This window comes from Homo sapiens, chromosome 16 (genome assembly GCF_000001405.40).
Source record: "Homo sapiens chromosome 16, GRCh38.p14 Primary Assembly".
Lineage (NCBI taxonomy): Eukaryota > Metazoa > Chordata > Mammalia > Primates > Hominidae > Homo > Homo sapiens.
This window is the reverse complement of record NC_000016.10, coordinates 2,781,299-2,796,853: the sequence shown is the minus strand read 5'-3', so window position 1 is coordinate 2,796,853 and position 15,555 is coordinate 2,781,299. Positions and strand designations below refer to the sequence as shown.

Here is a 15,555-nt window from a genome sequence, read left to right as displayed (position 1 = left end):
GTCTCAAATTTAAAAAAAAAAAAAATTAAAGAAGACCTAAGTAAACGAAAAGACATTCCATGTTCATGAATTAAAAGACAATCTTAAAACCGCCTTTGCAAACATATCAATGAGAAAAACCTAACGTGGCTGACTCCATCTTGCTTCTAGCCTCACAGGCTGGCTGTCCTTCGCTCATTCCTGGGTGTAGACCAAGCTAACCATGGGAGGAATTTAGTTTATAGTTTAACTTTGAAGTAAGGATGATAATCATCCCTCCCTAAAACTGATCTCCTCCTTGTTCTGGAAATGAAACTGTATTCGTAAAACAAATGAAAGGCTGCCGAGACTAAGTCGCATGCTGACACAGCTCTTGGTGTGCTACGGTACTTGGAGAGAATCTACTGGTCTTGATTCACTGGTGGGGGCAGTTGTTGCTTCCTTTAGTGCCCAGATCAGAAACATACATACCCTGCCTGGGGTTTTGGAAAGTGGGTTAGCAGCCCTCTTTCCTCATACCCATCAAGCAGTTGGTACCTACCACAGTGTATTGTAAACTTTTTTCTCTTCTCTTCTAGGGCTGCTGCAAGGTTCTGGGAAAGGGAAAGCTCCCAAAGCATCGTGTCACCATGAAAGCCAAATTCTTCAGCAAAAGAGCTGAGGAGAAGATTAACGGTGTCTGGGAGGCAGGGGGTTGCGGAGGCCTGTGTCCTGGTGGCTGGAAGCCACATGGAGGGAGGTTCATTAAATGCTAACAACAACAACAAAAAAACCTAATGAAAAGCCATGAGATTAGGATGACGGGAGGGCCTGAGTTCTGCTATGAGGTAGGCATATTTTCAATAATGCCTTTTACTGCTCAGGAGTGGCGTGGCAAAAGGTAACAGGAGTTGTGACTTCCGCAATTGCTTCTATAGATAACATCACTCTTGCAGAATCTAGGATTGGTTTTTTGAGATGTTTTTCAGACTGACCCCACCCAGACTCATGACTCATGGCTCAGCTGATGCTGCCAACCCCCCCAAAGGTGGACTCAGCACACAGGACAAGTTTTTACACTCCTATGATGGCATCTCCAACCAAAGAGCAGCACCGATTCCCTGGCCCCCAGCCCATCAAACTATCGTTGAAAAACCCTAACCTCCAAGCCTTTGGGGAGGCTGACTTGAGTAATAACTCCATCTCCCATGTGGCTAGCCTAGGGTCAATTAAACTCTTTCTTTACTGCAACATCATCTTTTCAGTGAACTGGTTTCGTCTGTGCAGCAGTCAGGAACAAACTGTTGGGCAATTACAATGTTGTTAAAACGTCCATAGTACCCAAAGCAATTTGTGGATTCAATGCAATATCTATCAAAACCCCAATGGCATTTTTCAGACAGAAAAAAATCCTAAAATTTATATGGAATGTCAAAGGACCCAAAATAACCAAAACCATTATAAGAAAAAGGAACAAAACTGGAGGCTTCAAACTTCCCAATTTCAAAAACTATTACCAAGCCACAGGAATCAAAACAATATGGTATTAGCATAAAGACAGACATACAAGTTAACAAAACAGAACAGAGAGCCCAGAAATAAACCCTCATATATATATATACGTATATATATATGTATATATGTATATATATGTATATATATGTGTATATATATGTATATATATGTGTATATATGTATATATGTATATATGTATATATGTATATATGTATATATGTATATATGTATATATGTATATATATATATATATATATATGGTCAACTGATCTACACAATGGGGAAAGGATAATCTCTTCAAAGTGGTGTTGGGAAAACTGGTTATTCACATGCAAAAGAACTGTAATCACCTAATGGGTCCTTCTTGCCAGCTGCACAGTTAATCAATTAACTGAGACCTTGGCATTGCAGTAGGTAAAGAGTTTAACTGACGTGAGGCTGGCCCATACAGGAGAATGAGTTATCACTCAAATCAATCTCTCTGAAGGCTCAGAGGTTAGGGTTTTTATGGACAATTTGGTGGGCAGTGGGCTAGGGAATGGGTGCTGCTGATTCGTTGGGGATGCAATCATAGGGGTCCTTGGGTGCTGATCCACCTTTGGGTAGGGCCACAGGATTAGCTGAGCCGTGAGTCATGAGTCATGAGTCTGGGCGAGGTCAGTCCAAACAAAATCTCAAAAAAACAATCCTAGGTTGTACAATAGTGGTGTTATCTATAGAAGCAATTAGGGAAGTCACAAATCTTGTAAGCTCTGGCCACATGACCCCCGAGCAGTAAGGCATTACTGAAACTATGCCTACCTCTGAGCAGAGTTCAGGCCCCTCCCATCATCCTAGTCTTTTGGCTTTTTATTAGTCTTACAAAGGCGGTTTTTGGTCCCTGAGCAAAGAGGGAGTTAATTTTAGTGGGGACTATTATCATCTTTGCTTTTAAGTTAAACTATAAAGTAAATTCCTCCCGAAGTTAGTTTGGCCTATGCCTAGGAATGACCAAGGACAGCTTGAAGGTCAGAAGAAGACAGAGTTGGCCAGGCGTGGTGGCTCAAGTCTGTAATCCCAGCACTTTGGGATGCCAAGGCGGGTGAACCACCTGAGGTCAGGAGTTTGAGACCAGCCTGACCAACACGGTGAAACCCCGTCTCTACTAAAAAATACAAAAATTAGCTGGGCACGGTGGCAGGTGCCTGTCATCCCAGCTACTCGGGAGGCTGAGGCAGGAGAATCGCTTGAACCTGGGAGGCGGAGGTTGCAGTGAGCCGAAATTGCACTATTGCACTCTAGCCTGGAGACAGAGCAAGACTCTGTCTCAAAAAAAAAAAAAAGGAAGACAGAGTCAGCTATGCTATATTTCTCCATCGTAATTTTGCAACAGTGGTTTCAGAATAAAGATAGGCCCTTATCTTATACCATATACAAAAATCAACTCAAAATGGCTTAAAGAACTAAACGTGAGACCTGAAGCCATAAAATTCCTAGAAGAAAAATTCCTAGAAATTCCCAGTGTGTGAATAAAATTCCTGAAAGAAAACCTAGGGGAAAAGTTCCCGGACATTGGATTGGGCAATGATTTCTTGGATCGGATGTGAAAAGCACAGGCAACAAAAGCAGAAATAGACAAGTGGGAATACATCAAACAAAAACTTCTGTGCAGCAAAGGAAATGATCCACAGAGTGAAAAGGCAACATATGGAATAGGAAAAAAAATTGCAAACCATATGTCAGATAAAGGGCTGATAACCAGAATACATAAAGAACTACAGCCCAATAACAAATAAATAACCCAATTTAAAAATGGGCAAAGGACTTGACAGACATTTCTCCAAAGAAGATACACACATGTGCTAACAAGCACACGAAAACATGCTCAGCATCACTAATTGTCAGAGAATTGCAAATTCAAACAACAAAATATTCCCTCACACCCATTAGGACGATCACTATCAAAAAACAGAAAATTGGGAGGCTGAGGCAGGAGAATTGCTTGAACCCGGGGCGGGGCGGAGGTTGCAGTGAGCTGAGATCATGCCATTGCACTCCAGCCTGAGCGACAGAGTGCGACTCCATCTCAAAACAACAACAACAACAAAACAAAACAAAAAATAGAAAATTACAGGTGTCGGTGAGGATGTGGAAAATTTGGAACACTTGAGAGCTGTTGATGGGATTGTAAAAATGGTGCGGCCGCTATGGCAAACAGTATGGAGTTTCCTCGAAAAATTAAAAATAGAATTACCATATGATCCAGCAGTCCACTTCTGGGTATATATCCCCAGGAACCGAAAACAGGATCTCAGAAAAATATTTGCACACTCATGTTCATTGCAGCATTATTCACAATAGCCAAGATATGAAAACAACCCAAATGTCCATCAACGGATAAACGGATAAAGAAAATGTCGTATACAACAGAATATTATTATTATTGTTATTTTCAGACAGAGTCTTGCTCTGTTGCCCAGGCTGGATTGCAGTGGCGCAGTCTTAGCTCACTGCAACCTCCGCCTCTCGGGTTCAAGCAATTCTCCTGCCTCAGCCTCCTGAGTAGCTGAGACTACAGGCACATGCCACTACACCTGGCTACATTTTTGTATTTTTTTTTTTTAGTAGAGACAGGGTTTCACCGTGTTAGCCAGGATGGCCTCAATCTCCTGACCTCGAGATCCACCTGCCTGGGCCTCCCAAAGTGCTGAGATTACAGGCGTGAGCCACCGTGCCCAGCCTATTATTATCATTATTATTATGATGATTTGAGATGGAGTTTCGCTCCTGTCGCCCAGGCTGGACTGCAATGTTACCATCTCGGCTCACTGCAAACTCCACCTCCAGGTTCAAGCGATTCTCCTGCCTCAGCCTCCTGAGTAGCTGGGACTGATGGGCGCCACCACACCCAGCTAATTTTTGTATTTTTAGTAGAGATGGGGTTTCACCATATTGGCCAGGCTGGTCAGGAACTTCTGACAGAATATTATTTACCCTTAAAAAAGAATGAAATTCTTTCATATGCTACAACGCGGATGGATCTTGAGGACCTTATGCTAAGTGAAATAAGCTAGTTACAGAACAAAAAATACTGCAAAATTCCACTTATATGAGGTATTTAAAGTAACGAACTCATCAAAGCAGCAAGTAAAATGGTGGTTGCCAGGAGCTGGGGGAGAGGGACACACAGAGCTATTGTTCAAGGAAGAGAGTTTCAGTCAAGCAAGATGAAAATGCTCTAGAGATCTCTTTACGGCAATCTGCATATAGTTGACAATACTATACCATCCACTTAAAAATTAAGAGGGTATATTTGTTTATTTTGTGTGTGTGTGTTTTTGTTTTTTTTTTTTTTGAGACGGAGTCTCACTCTGTCACCCAGGCTGAAGTGCATTGGTGCGATCTCGGCTCACTGCAACCTCTGCCTCCCCAGTTCAAGCGATTCTCTTGCCTCAGCCTCCCAAGTAGCTGGGATTACAGGCGCACGCCACCACACCTGGCTAATTTTTTGTATTTTTAGTACAGACAGGGTTTCGCCATGTTGGCCAGGCTGATCTTGAACTCCTGACCTCAGGTGATCCACCTTCCTCAGCCTCCCAAAGTGCTGGGATTGCAGGTGTGAGCCACCGCACCCGGCCAAGATGGTATATTTGTATTGTGTGTTTTTTACCACTAAAAAAAAAAGAAAAAAAAAGAGTGGTGCTGAAGGGGAGGTGGGTCTACCTGAGGGTCTGTGCCTCAGTTTCTCAACATAGGAGCTGAGACAGGGGTTGGGTCTGGGGGCTCTTTCCCTCCTCTCCCAAAGATCCGATGTCCAATATTTAACCAGTTGCAGACCCTCCCCTGAAAAAAGCCCATTTCGCCGTGAGAATCCATTTCTTTAACCCAAGCCCTCAGGTGTCCTCAGATCTCCAACCTCCCCCTTCACCCCAAATTGCAACAGGCAGAGACCCAGCTCCCGCTGAACAGGCAGAGACCCAGCTCCCGCTGAACAGGCAGAGATCCAGCTCCCGCTGAACAGGGAGAGACACAGCTCCCGCTGAAGAGGCAGAGACCCAGCTCCCACTGAACAGGGAGTCCATCCTCCTAGCTGGCTTCCCTCCCAGTGCTTGGCCAAGTCCCCCGGGATGGCTGCATATTCTGAGGGTCCATTGTCACTCTCATACTGGTCCAGGTCTCCAGCCGCACCCAACCATGACAGAGAGGGACACTGCCCACCTGGCCTTGTCCCCACTATGCCCTCTAAGGGCAAGCCGACCTGGTATAGCAGAAGATTCTGGAGGCTCAGGGAGGGTGGGAGTGTACTTCTTTTATTCTTGCAGGACTTTCCTAGTATTTGGCAAGTGCTGGTCACTGTGCCAAGCTCTGCATGGTCAACCCCATTAATCTTTACCACAACCTACCAGGTGGATTTTGCAGATGAGGAAAGCAGGGTAGGTGAGGCTTCAACAGCTCTCCCAAGGACTCAGAGCTGGAGACCGGGGCGCCAAAGCCCAGTTGCAGAGAGCGGGTCTTGAGGGTGGTCCTAAAACGGGGACAGCAGAGGTCAGGCCTGAAGACCACCCTCTGTCTACGTTGCATCCAGATGCTGGGTCTGTGTCCCCACCAGCCCCCTCCTCTGTGTCCCTCAGCCTCATCCCCAGTCTGCTGCCCTGCTCAGCCTTGGCCACTTATTCCCAAATCCTTAGTGCCAGCTCTGTGCTGGGCACTGTCCTGCCCACTGGAGAATGTTATGCACTGAAATGTTTGTGTCCCCTCCAAAATTCATATGTCAAAGCCTTACTCACTGTTGTGACTGTATTTGCCCTTATGGAAGTAATTAAGGTTAAATGAGATCACAAGAGTAGGACCCTGCTGGGCACAGTGGCTCACGCCTATAATCCCGGCACTTTGGGAGGCCAAGGCGGGTGGATCGCCTGAGGTCAGGAGTTCAAGACCAGCCTGACCAACATGGAGAAACCTTGTCTCTACTAAAAGTACAAAATTAGCTGGGCGTGGTGGCGCATGCCTGTAATCCCAGCTACTCGGGAGGCTGAGGCAGAAGAATCACTTGAACCCGGGAGGCGGAGGTTGCGGTGAGCCGAGATTGTGCCACTGCACTCCAGCCTGGGCAACAAGACCAAAACCCTGTCTTAAAAAAAAAAAAAAAAAAAGAGTAGGACCCTAATCCAATAGAATTCGTGTCCTTATGAGACGGGATTTGTTCCCTTGACTGTGACCCCCTTCGTGGGCAGGAACTGGAGTGGCTCGTTTCACTCAGCTGTTGTTCGTGGATGGCTAAATATTAACAGTTCAGTGAAGGGTCAGGGTGACAGCATCCTGCACCTGCCCTTTTTGACACCCGAGTTCTTGTTCAGTGTCCAGGAAGAACCAGGTCACATGAGCTATTTGGAAGGTAGTGCATGCGGAGGATTTCAATGGGTGATAAAAGTGGCTGTCAGCAGGATGGGGAATTGATGCGGAAGGAAGGTGATCTTTCCCTGAAGTCGCACCATCTGAAGTTAGCCGCATCTATCCACAGCTAAAGCTCAGCCGCATGTATCCCCAAGGCTCAGCAGCTTGTATCCCTGCTGGTCAGCTGCTTGTGTTGCTCTTTTCTTCCTTTTCTTCTGCCATCTGGTCTGGTTTTTACCGGTACAGGTTAGGGGGCGGGGTGGGCCAAGAAGGCAATCATTTGGGCAGAAAAACAGGGTCAGATGTTTTCACTTAGGGCTGGGGCTCCAGGCTTGAAGGTGGGAGCCCAGCCGTTCTGTGTCACTCATAAGAAGTGACAAGAGTGCAACCTGTCTCTCTCCCTCCCCTCATGCACACAGAGGCCACGGAAGCACACAGCAAGATGCAGGCCACCCAACAAGCCAAGAAAAGTGGCCTTAGAATGAAAACTATGTTACTGGCACCTTGATCTTGGAATTCCCAGGCTCTAGAATCATGAGCAATACATTTATGTTGTTTAAGCCCCCACGGCCGGGCGCAGTGGTTCACGCCTGTAATCCCAGCACTTTGGGAGGCCGAGGCGGGCGGACCATGAGGTCAAGAGATCAAGACCATCCTGGCCAACAAGGTGAAACCGCGTCTCCACTAAAAATACAAAAAAAAAAAAAAAATTAGCCGGGTGTGATGGCGCGCACCTGTAAATCCCTGCTACTCAGGAGGCTGAGGCAGGAGAATAGCTTGAACCCGGGAGGTGGAGGTTGCAGTGAGCCGAGATCACGCCACCGCACTCCAGCCTGGAGACAGAGCAAGACTCTGTCTCAGAAAAAAAAAAAGAAAGCCCCTTCGGCTGTGGTTTTTGTTTATGGCAGCCCAAGCGGACTCCTACAGGGACACAGACCCAGACCCTGATGCTGGAGGGGAGACAAGAGGATGTAAATCAAACCTCCTCAAGTCCCTGTCAAAGGACAACTATGGGCTGGCCTCGGTGGCACATGCCTATAACCCCAGCACTTTGGGAGACTACAGCAAGAGGATCTCTTGAGCCCAGGAGTTCGAGAACAAGTTGGGCATCATTGCAAGACCCCATCTCTGGAAAAAAAAATTGCTAGGTGCTGTGGCATGCACCTGTGGTCCCAACTACTTGGGAAGCTGAGGTGGCAGGATCACTTGAGCCCAGAGGTCAAGGACGCAGGGAGTTGTGATTGTACCACTGCACTCCAGCCTGGGTGACAGAGCAAGACCCTGTCTCTCTCTCCCTTTTTATTTTTTTTTGAGACAGAATCTCACTGCGTCGCCCAGGCTGGAGTGCAGTGGCATAATCTCGGCTCACTGCAACTTCCACCTCCCGGGTTCAAGCAATTCCTGTGCCTCAGCCTCCCGAGTAGCTGAGATTGCAGGCGCCCACCATCAGGCCTGGCTAATTTTTGTATTTTTAGTAGAGACGAGGTTTCACCATGTTGGCCAGGCTCGTCTCAAACCCCTGACCTCAAATGAGCCACCCATCTCGGCTTCCCAAAATGCAGGGATTACAGGCATGAGCCACCATGCTTGGCCAAGACCCTGTCTCTTTAAAAAAAAAAAGAAAGAAAAACAAAAAAAAAAAAAAGGAAAAAAGTACAACTATGGCAGGGCTGCAAAGGAGGCAGGAGGAGGTGGCAGAGCAGAAGGCTGAGGGATAAGAGGAGTTCACTATGCAGAGAGGGACTTGAGAGACTTCTAGGCAGCGAACACTGTGTATGAGCCCAAGAGGGAACTACAGGGCCCTGGACCATCCGGGCCCCGGTCCTCCACGGGCCTCGAGAGAAGGGGAGTTCCTGTCCCCTGACCCCAGCATCTTGCTCTGTCTCGGCCACCCCAAACCAAAGACTGCACTGGTCCCCAAGGTCAAGTCTCCCCCTGCCTCTGGTCAAGTAAGGAGTGCCACCAACTTTGAACCAGTCCCTTTCCACCTCCAGCTGCTCCAGACCCCGGATCTGGAAGGGGGCTGGCCATGCTGGGGTCTCTGGGTGGAGCTGTCTGGCCAGGACTTCCGTCTGAGATGGGATTTCTGGACAGAACAATGGAGCGCAGAAGCTCCAGCAACGTGTGCTCTGCAGGGAGCCCAGGTCAGGTTTGGAGAGGAGTTGCCCCGGATCCTGCAGAGCTTCCCCACCTGACTGCCACCCCTCCCAGCACCTACCCGCACCACTGCTCTCCGCCAGCCCCCACTTCTAGTACCTTGGCGCAAGGCAGGCTTCCTTTGAGAAACCCATTGACCCTTTCCTGCCACCTCTGAAGCTCTGCTCAAAGCATCTTTGTTTGAGGCTGGTCCGGTAAAGCCACAGCCCCGCCCCGGCCCTGTTCATTACTCCTTGGCTGAGCCTCGCGCTCTCCTGGCACTTTAAGCCCCCAGGCCCTCCCTCAACCCCAGTCAGCAGAAGGCGCCAGGCTGTGAGGGTGAGAGCAAGCCAGGGGCTGTGGGGGCTGCAGGGGCAGCCAGTGGGTGAGGATGAGGGTGAGGACGAGGAGGGGTGAAGGATGGGGGAGGGGGTGAGGATGAGGGAAGTGGTGAAGATGAGGGAGGGGAGTGAGGAGGAAGGGGGTGAGGATAGAGGAGGGGGTGAGGATGAGGGAGGGGGTGACGATGGGGGGGTGAAGGATGGAGGAGGGGTGATGAGAGAGGAGTGAGGATGAGGGAGGGGGTGAAGGATGAGGGAGGGGGTGAGGATGAGACAGGGGTGAGGATGAGGGAGGGGGTGAGGATGAGGGAGGGGAGTGAGGAGGAGGGGGCTGAGGATGGAGGAGGGGGTGAGGATAGAGGAGGGGTGAGGATGAGGGAGGGGTGAGGATGAGAGAGGGGTGAGGATGAGAGGTGAGGATGAGGGAGGGGGTGAGGATGAGGGAGGGGAGTGAGGAGGAGCAGGGGTGACGATGGAGGACGGGGTGAGGATAGAGGAGGAGGTGAGGATGAGGGAGGGGGTGAGGATGAGAGAGGGATGAGGATGAGGGAAGGGGTGAGGATAAGGGAGGGGAGTGAGGAGGAGGGGGGTGAGGATGGAGGAGGGAGTGAGGATGAGGGAGGGGGTGAGGATGAGGGAGGGGGTGAGGATGGGGGAGGGGGATGAGGGAGGGAGTGAGGATGACCGAGGGGGGTTAGGCTCCAGGGCTTCTGTCGAGACCAAGGATGCCCAAATATCTGGGTGGTGGGTGCTGCATACCTGGGCCCTGGGCAGAACGAAGGGTATACAGCCTGGGCCACCAGGATAAGTCCAGAACCCACCAGGAGCTGAGGACAGACAGAAGGACCACGGAGGGGGTGACGGGCTGGTGTGAGGATTGGTGCCCCTGGGCCAGGACTCTCCTCTCTTCTCCCTGCTGGCTCCAGACCAGAGTCCAAGCCCTAGGCAGTGCCACCCTTACCCAGCCCAGCCTTGAAGACAGAATGAGAGGGGTTTCCTGTCTCCAGGTCCTGCTCCTTCTGGTGCTGGGTGAGTGGGGACAGGGACTGGGGGTGAGGGCCGCAGACACCTTGGCTCCCAGTTCTCCCATCTCACTGCTCCCTGGGCCGGGCTCCCTGGAGCACTCTTGGGCTTTCTAATCTTGATTCCAAGGGCTCAATCCTCTCTGCCACTGACCTTGACCTCACCACACCTCGATGTGCTTGTCGGTGTCATGCTCATACGCCCTTGCCCCCTGCACCTTCACAGTGCTCTGGGGAGGGTTAAATAAGATAACAGACGGCACGAAAGCCTGGCGCAATGTCAGGGCAACATTGTTTCACCCTCCTTCCTCATCTCTGGCCTCCCCTCCAACTCCGTTATTTGACACCAAATCTATAATCTGGTCCCTTCCCTGCTTCCTCCTCCAGGAGCTGCTGGGACTCAGGGAAGGAAGTCTGCAGGTGAGGAAGCCTCGGAGTCCACCCGAGTCAGCCCCTCCTGGACCTCGGCCCCGTGTCTCCCCACCAACACCTGCCTCCCAGGCCCCAGGTCCTCAGCCAACCCTCACCGCCCCTGGTCCTTTTCTAGCCTGCGGGCAGCCCCGCATGTCCAGTCGGATCGTTGGGGGCCGGGATGGCCGGGACGGAGAGTGGCCGTGGCAGGCGAGCATCCAGCATCGTGGGGCACACGTGTGCGGGGGGTCGCTCATCGCCCCCCAGTGGGTGCTGACAGCGGCGCACTGCTTCCCCAGGTCAGCGCTCACCGAGGGCCCAGGCGGGGTGTGCAAGGAAGGCAAGGCCCGCAGAGGACCGGGCGTGGCCTGGCAGAGGCGTTGGGGTCGAGGCGGGCTGGAGGGGGTCGAGGACCCGGTGCTGGAAGTAGTCCCCCGCTCCTGTCCTGCAGGAGGGCACTGCCAGCTGAGTACCGCGTGCGCCTGGGGGCGCTGCGTCTGGGCTCCACCTCGCCCCGCACGCTCTCGGTGCCCGTGCGACGGGTGCTGCTGCCCCCGGACTACTCCGAGGACGGGGCCCGCGGCGACCTGGCACTGCTGCAGCTGCGTCGCCCGGTGCCCCTGAGCGCTCGCGTCCAACCCGTCTGCCTGCCCGTGCCCGGCGCCCGCCCGCCGCCCGGCACACCATGCCGGGTCACCGGCTGGGGCAGCCTCCGCCCAGGAGGTAAGGCAGGAGGGCGGGGCTCCGAGGCATCCGGGAGCCCCCACGTCCTCCTCCATCTGACTGGAAATCCCAGCCCCTCACTGCCCCAATCCAGGACCCAGCGCGGCTTCTAGGGAACAAAACCTCCTCTCACTCAGAGCTCAGCTTCTCCCACTGGCCCCCGCTCCACGCCTTCCTCTCAGAGGTCCCTCCTCTTCCCCCAGTGCCCCTCCCAGAGTGGCGACCGCTACAAGGAGTAAGGGTGCCGCTGCTGGACTCGCGCACCTGCGACGGCCTCTACCACGTGGGCGCGGACGTGCCCCAGGCTGAGCGCATTGTGCTGCCTGGGAGTCTGTGTGCCGGCTACCCCCAGGGCCACAAGGACGCCTGCCAGGTGTGCACCCAGCCTCCCCAGCCTCCGGAGTCCCCTCCCTGTGCCCAGCACCCTCCCTCCCTGAACTCCAGGACCCAGGACATCCCAACTCAGGCTCAGGATCCTGGCCTCCAACCTAGAGGCACCACGCCAGGGGTCTGGAACCCTGAGAACTGAAGTCCTGGGAGGGCTGGGACTTAGGCTCCTCTTTCTCCTGCAGGGTGATTCTGGGGGACCTCTGACCTGCCTGCAGTCTGGGAGCTGGGTCCTGGTGGGCGTGGTGAGCTGGGGCAAGGGTTGTGCCCTGCCCAACCGTCCAGGGGTCTACACCAGTGTGGCCACATATAGCCCCTGGATTCAGGCTCGCGTCAGCTTCTAATGCTAGCCGGTGAGGCTGACCTGGAGCCAGCTGCTGGGGTCCCTCAGCCTCCTGGTTCATCCAGGCACCTGCCTATACCCCACATCCCTTCTGCCTCGAGGCCAAGATGCCTAAAAAAGCTAAAGGCCACCCCACCCCCCACCCACCACCTCCTGCCTCCTCTCCTCTTTGGGGATCACCAGCTCTGACTCCACCAACCCTCATCCAGGAATCTGCCATGAGTCCCAGGGAGTCACACTCCCCACTCCCTTCCTGGCTTGTATTTACTTTTCTTGGCCCTGGCCAGGGCTGGGCGCAAGGCACGCAGTGATGGGCAAACCAATTGCTGCCCATCTGGCCTGTGTGCCCATCTTTTTCTGGAGAAAGTCAGATTCACAGCATGACAGAGATTTGACACCAGGGAGATCCTCCATAGCTGGCTTTGAGGACACGGGGACCACAGCCATGAGCGGCCTCTAAGAGCTGAGAGACAGCCGGCAGGGAATCGGAACCCTCAGACCCACAGCCGCAAGGCACTGGATTCTGGCAGCACCCTGAAGGAGCTGGGAAGTAAGTTCTTCCCCAGCCTCCAGATAAGAGCCCCGCCGGCCAATCCCTTCATTTCAACCTAAAGAGACCCTAAGCAGAGAACCTAGCTGAGCCACTCCTGACCTACAAAGTTGTGACTTAATAAATGTGTGCTTTAAGCTGCTCCATTTGTGCTGACTTGTTATACAGCAATAAAAACTAATATAGATTTTGCCCCACTGTGATGAAGGTGTCCCAGTGGGAAAGGTGGGCTGGCCAGCGCGGCCACCTCCCCACATACTGCAAGAGGCTGGGCACTTGGTATCAGGCCCTCGGCCCAGGAGGGGTCAGGAGTCCCGGGGCAGGCCCAGATTCTGTTCTCATTGTGTCTGGCCACCATTCACTCCCAGGGTGAGCCTGGGGCCCAGGCCACCCTACTGACACCTGCACCCAGACGCCAACAGCTAGCCCACGTGCAGGTCCTTGCCCACCCTTGGGGTCCCCTTCCAGCCTGGTGCCTGGCATCCTGTCCCCTCTCTGCCATGTCCTTGTCTCCAGAGCCAGGACCACCCGTTCCAATAGATAGAGGTCAGTTTCCACAGCTGCAGAAGGAAAAGAAACAAAACCTGGAAAATTCAAAACCTACTCTGGAGCTGACAGGGGCTATCAGCAGAAGGGAAGGGAAGATAAGGGAAGGTAAACTTCAAAGGCGCAGCCCCTTTAGGTCCAGGCACAGGCCTGAGCATCGCCTCCCTCCCCTTTCCTCCTGGGGAGCCAGGGAAGTGGGCTGTACTAGATGGTCACGGCTGGGCCAGGCCAGGTGGGGCAGGGAGGGTGCTCAAGGCTTCTCTGTCCCCCAGGTGGAGAACAGACCATGCTGCAGTACAGCTTGGCCACCACTGGTGTGGTCATCAGGCACCAGGTGCCCAGGACGACAGGGCATGGCTATGGCAGGCGAGCCTGCAAAAGGCTGCAGGCCCAGCTAAGGAGGCAGAAGGGAGTGGAGCCGGGCAGGGAAGGGAGGATCATTAATGAGAAGAAATCACGGCCCCTCGTCAAGCCCTCACCAGACACTGTGCAGAGGGAGGGCTTTATTCCATCAGCTCATTGAATTCCCACAGGAGGCTCCGTGAGGTGGCTTGTCCCCATTTGTCAGATGAGAAAAACAAGTCCCAAAAGTCACACCGCCGGCAAGGTTGGTAGACTGGGACTCCAGCCCAGGTGGTCTGATTCTGGGAAAAGCAGAGGTCCTCCACTCTCTCCACTCCCTCCCACCCCCAAAAGGGCAGCCTCCCCGCACCCGTCCTCTTGGCCCGTTCCCGGCATGATGGCCTGTGGGGCCAGACGAGTGGCAGCTCTTGTCAGCCCCGTGCAACTGACCTCCACAGGATGGGGCCTACTTCCCTCTCCGTAATCTGCACTGATAACACCTGCACTCCCGTGGCTGTTGGGGGTCCAGATGTCGGCCAAGGTGGTCGTTATGCCCGCTGAGTATGTGCACTGTGCCAGGCATGTACATGCTCTCAGCAGACCTCAGAGCCCTTGAAGGAGATACTCTTCTCATCTCACAGAAGGGGAAACAGGCCCAGAGAGGTTAGGTAACTTGGCCACAGGCCCACAGCTGGTAAGTAGTGGAGACAGATTTGAACTCAAATCCCACACTCCTAACAGTTATGTCACATCCCTTATGGGGACAAAAGTAGCTATAAAACACTCTTACAAATAAGGCACATTACTAACGCATGGTCGTGAATAACTACTACGTATTAACACAAAAACAAAAGAAGTAGACCAGGCACAGTGGTTGATGCTTGTAATCCCAGTGTTTTGGTAGACCAAGGCAGGATGATTGCTTGAAGCCAGAAAATCGAGACCAGCCTGGGCAACATAGTGAAACCCCCATCTCTACAAAAAATTACATTAGCCAGGCATGGTGGCCCGTGCCTGCAGTCTCAGTTACTCGGGAGGGTGAGGTGGGATCGCCTGAACTCAGGATTTCAAGGCTGCCATAAAGATCACGCCACTGCACTCCAGCCTGGGCTACAGAGCAAGATCTGTGTGTAGGGAAAATCTCTCTCAAATTGTGTTTTTCCTCTACTCTTGTTGCCAGAAAAGAGGGTCCCAATCCAGACCCCAAGACAGGGTTCCAAGAGAGGGTTCTTGGATCTCACACAGGAAGGAATTCAAGGTGAGCCACAGAGCACAGTGAGAGAAGCAAGTTGATTAGAAAGGACTCCATCACAGAGCAGGCGTGCTCAGAGAGCAGGAGGAAGAACTCAACGTCTTTGGTTAGTGTCTCTGCTTATAAGAAACTACAGGCCGGGCTCAGTGGCTCACGCCTGTAATCCCAGCACTTTGGGAAGCCGAGGAGGGTGGATCACCTGAGGTCAGGAGTTCGAGACCAGGCTGGCCAACATGGTAAAATCCCGTTTCTACTAAAAATACAAAAATTAGCCAGGTGTGGTGGCACGCACCTGTAATCCCAGCTACTCAGGAAGCTGAGACAGGAGAATCACTTGAACTCGGGAGGCGGAGGTTGCAGTGAGCCCAGATCACACCATTGTACTCCAGCCTGGGCAACAGAGTGAGACTTTGTCTCAAAAAAAAAAAAAAAAAAAAAGAGAGAGAGAGAGAAACTACAAGGAGCAGTAAATAAACCTGGAACGTGCAGATATGTGCTCACTAAAGGTCGGGGCTATTGGTGCCATCGGTGACCGTGCATCCTCTGTCTTAGCCTGCTTACTGACACTATCTTAGTAAAGTGGGCTGCATTCTCAGAACGTGTGGACATTCTATGGGCCTTCTGGGAGAAGTCCTGTATGGCCATAAACATTTTGT

At 52.4% G+C, this 15,555-nt stretch overlaps 1 protein-coding gene and 1 non-coding gene across 6 annotated transcripts; both read left to right on the top strand.

Moving 5' to 3' along the window:
* The first annotated feature begins 321 nt into the window (after window positions 1-321).
* SNORA3C (small nucleolar RNA, H/ACA box 3C) lies at window positions 322-446 on the top strand. The gene has a single exon (NR_145775.1). It is a non-coding gene; the product is annotated as a small nucleolar RNA, H/ACA box 3C (small nucleolar RNA).
* Window positions 447-8,938: 8,492 nt separating this feature from the next.
* On the top strand, window positions 8,939-12,901 carry PRSS33 (serine protease 33). Of its 5 annotated transcripts, none has more exons than NM_001385464.1 (7): window positions 8,939-8,990; window positions 10,250-10,352; window positions 10,733-10,765; window positions 10,893-11,055; window positions 11,208-11,479; window positions 11,683-11,852; window positions 12,052-12,901. In NM_001385464.1, the coding sequence occupies exons 2-7, from the start codon at window positions 10,307-10,309 to the stop codon at window positions 12,208-12,210; spliced, it is 843 nt and encodes a 280-aa protein (NP_001372393.1). In that variant the 5' UTR covers window positions 8,939-8,990; window positions 10,250-10,306; the 3' UTR covers window positions 12,211-12,901. The 5 variants fall into 5 exon arrangements, 4 of the variants coding, with proteins under 4 accessions (NP_001372393.1, NP_690851.2, NP_001372392.1 ...); NM_152891.3 differs by lacking the exon at window positions 8,939-8,990 and adding an exon at window positions 9,294-9,321; NM_001385463.1 differs by lacking the exon at window positions 8,939-8,990 and adding an exon at window positions 9,294-9,367.
* Window positions 12,902-15,555: the final 2,654 nt, after the last annotated feature.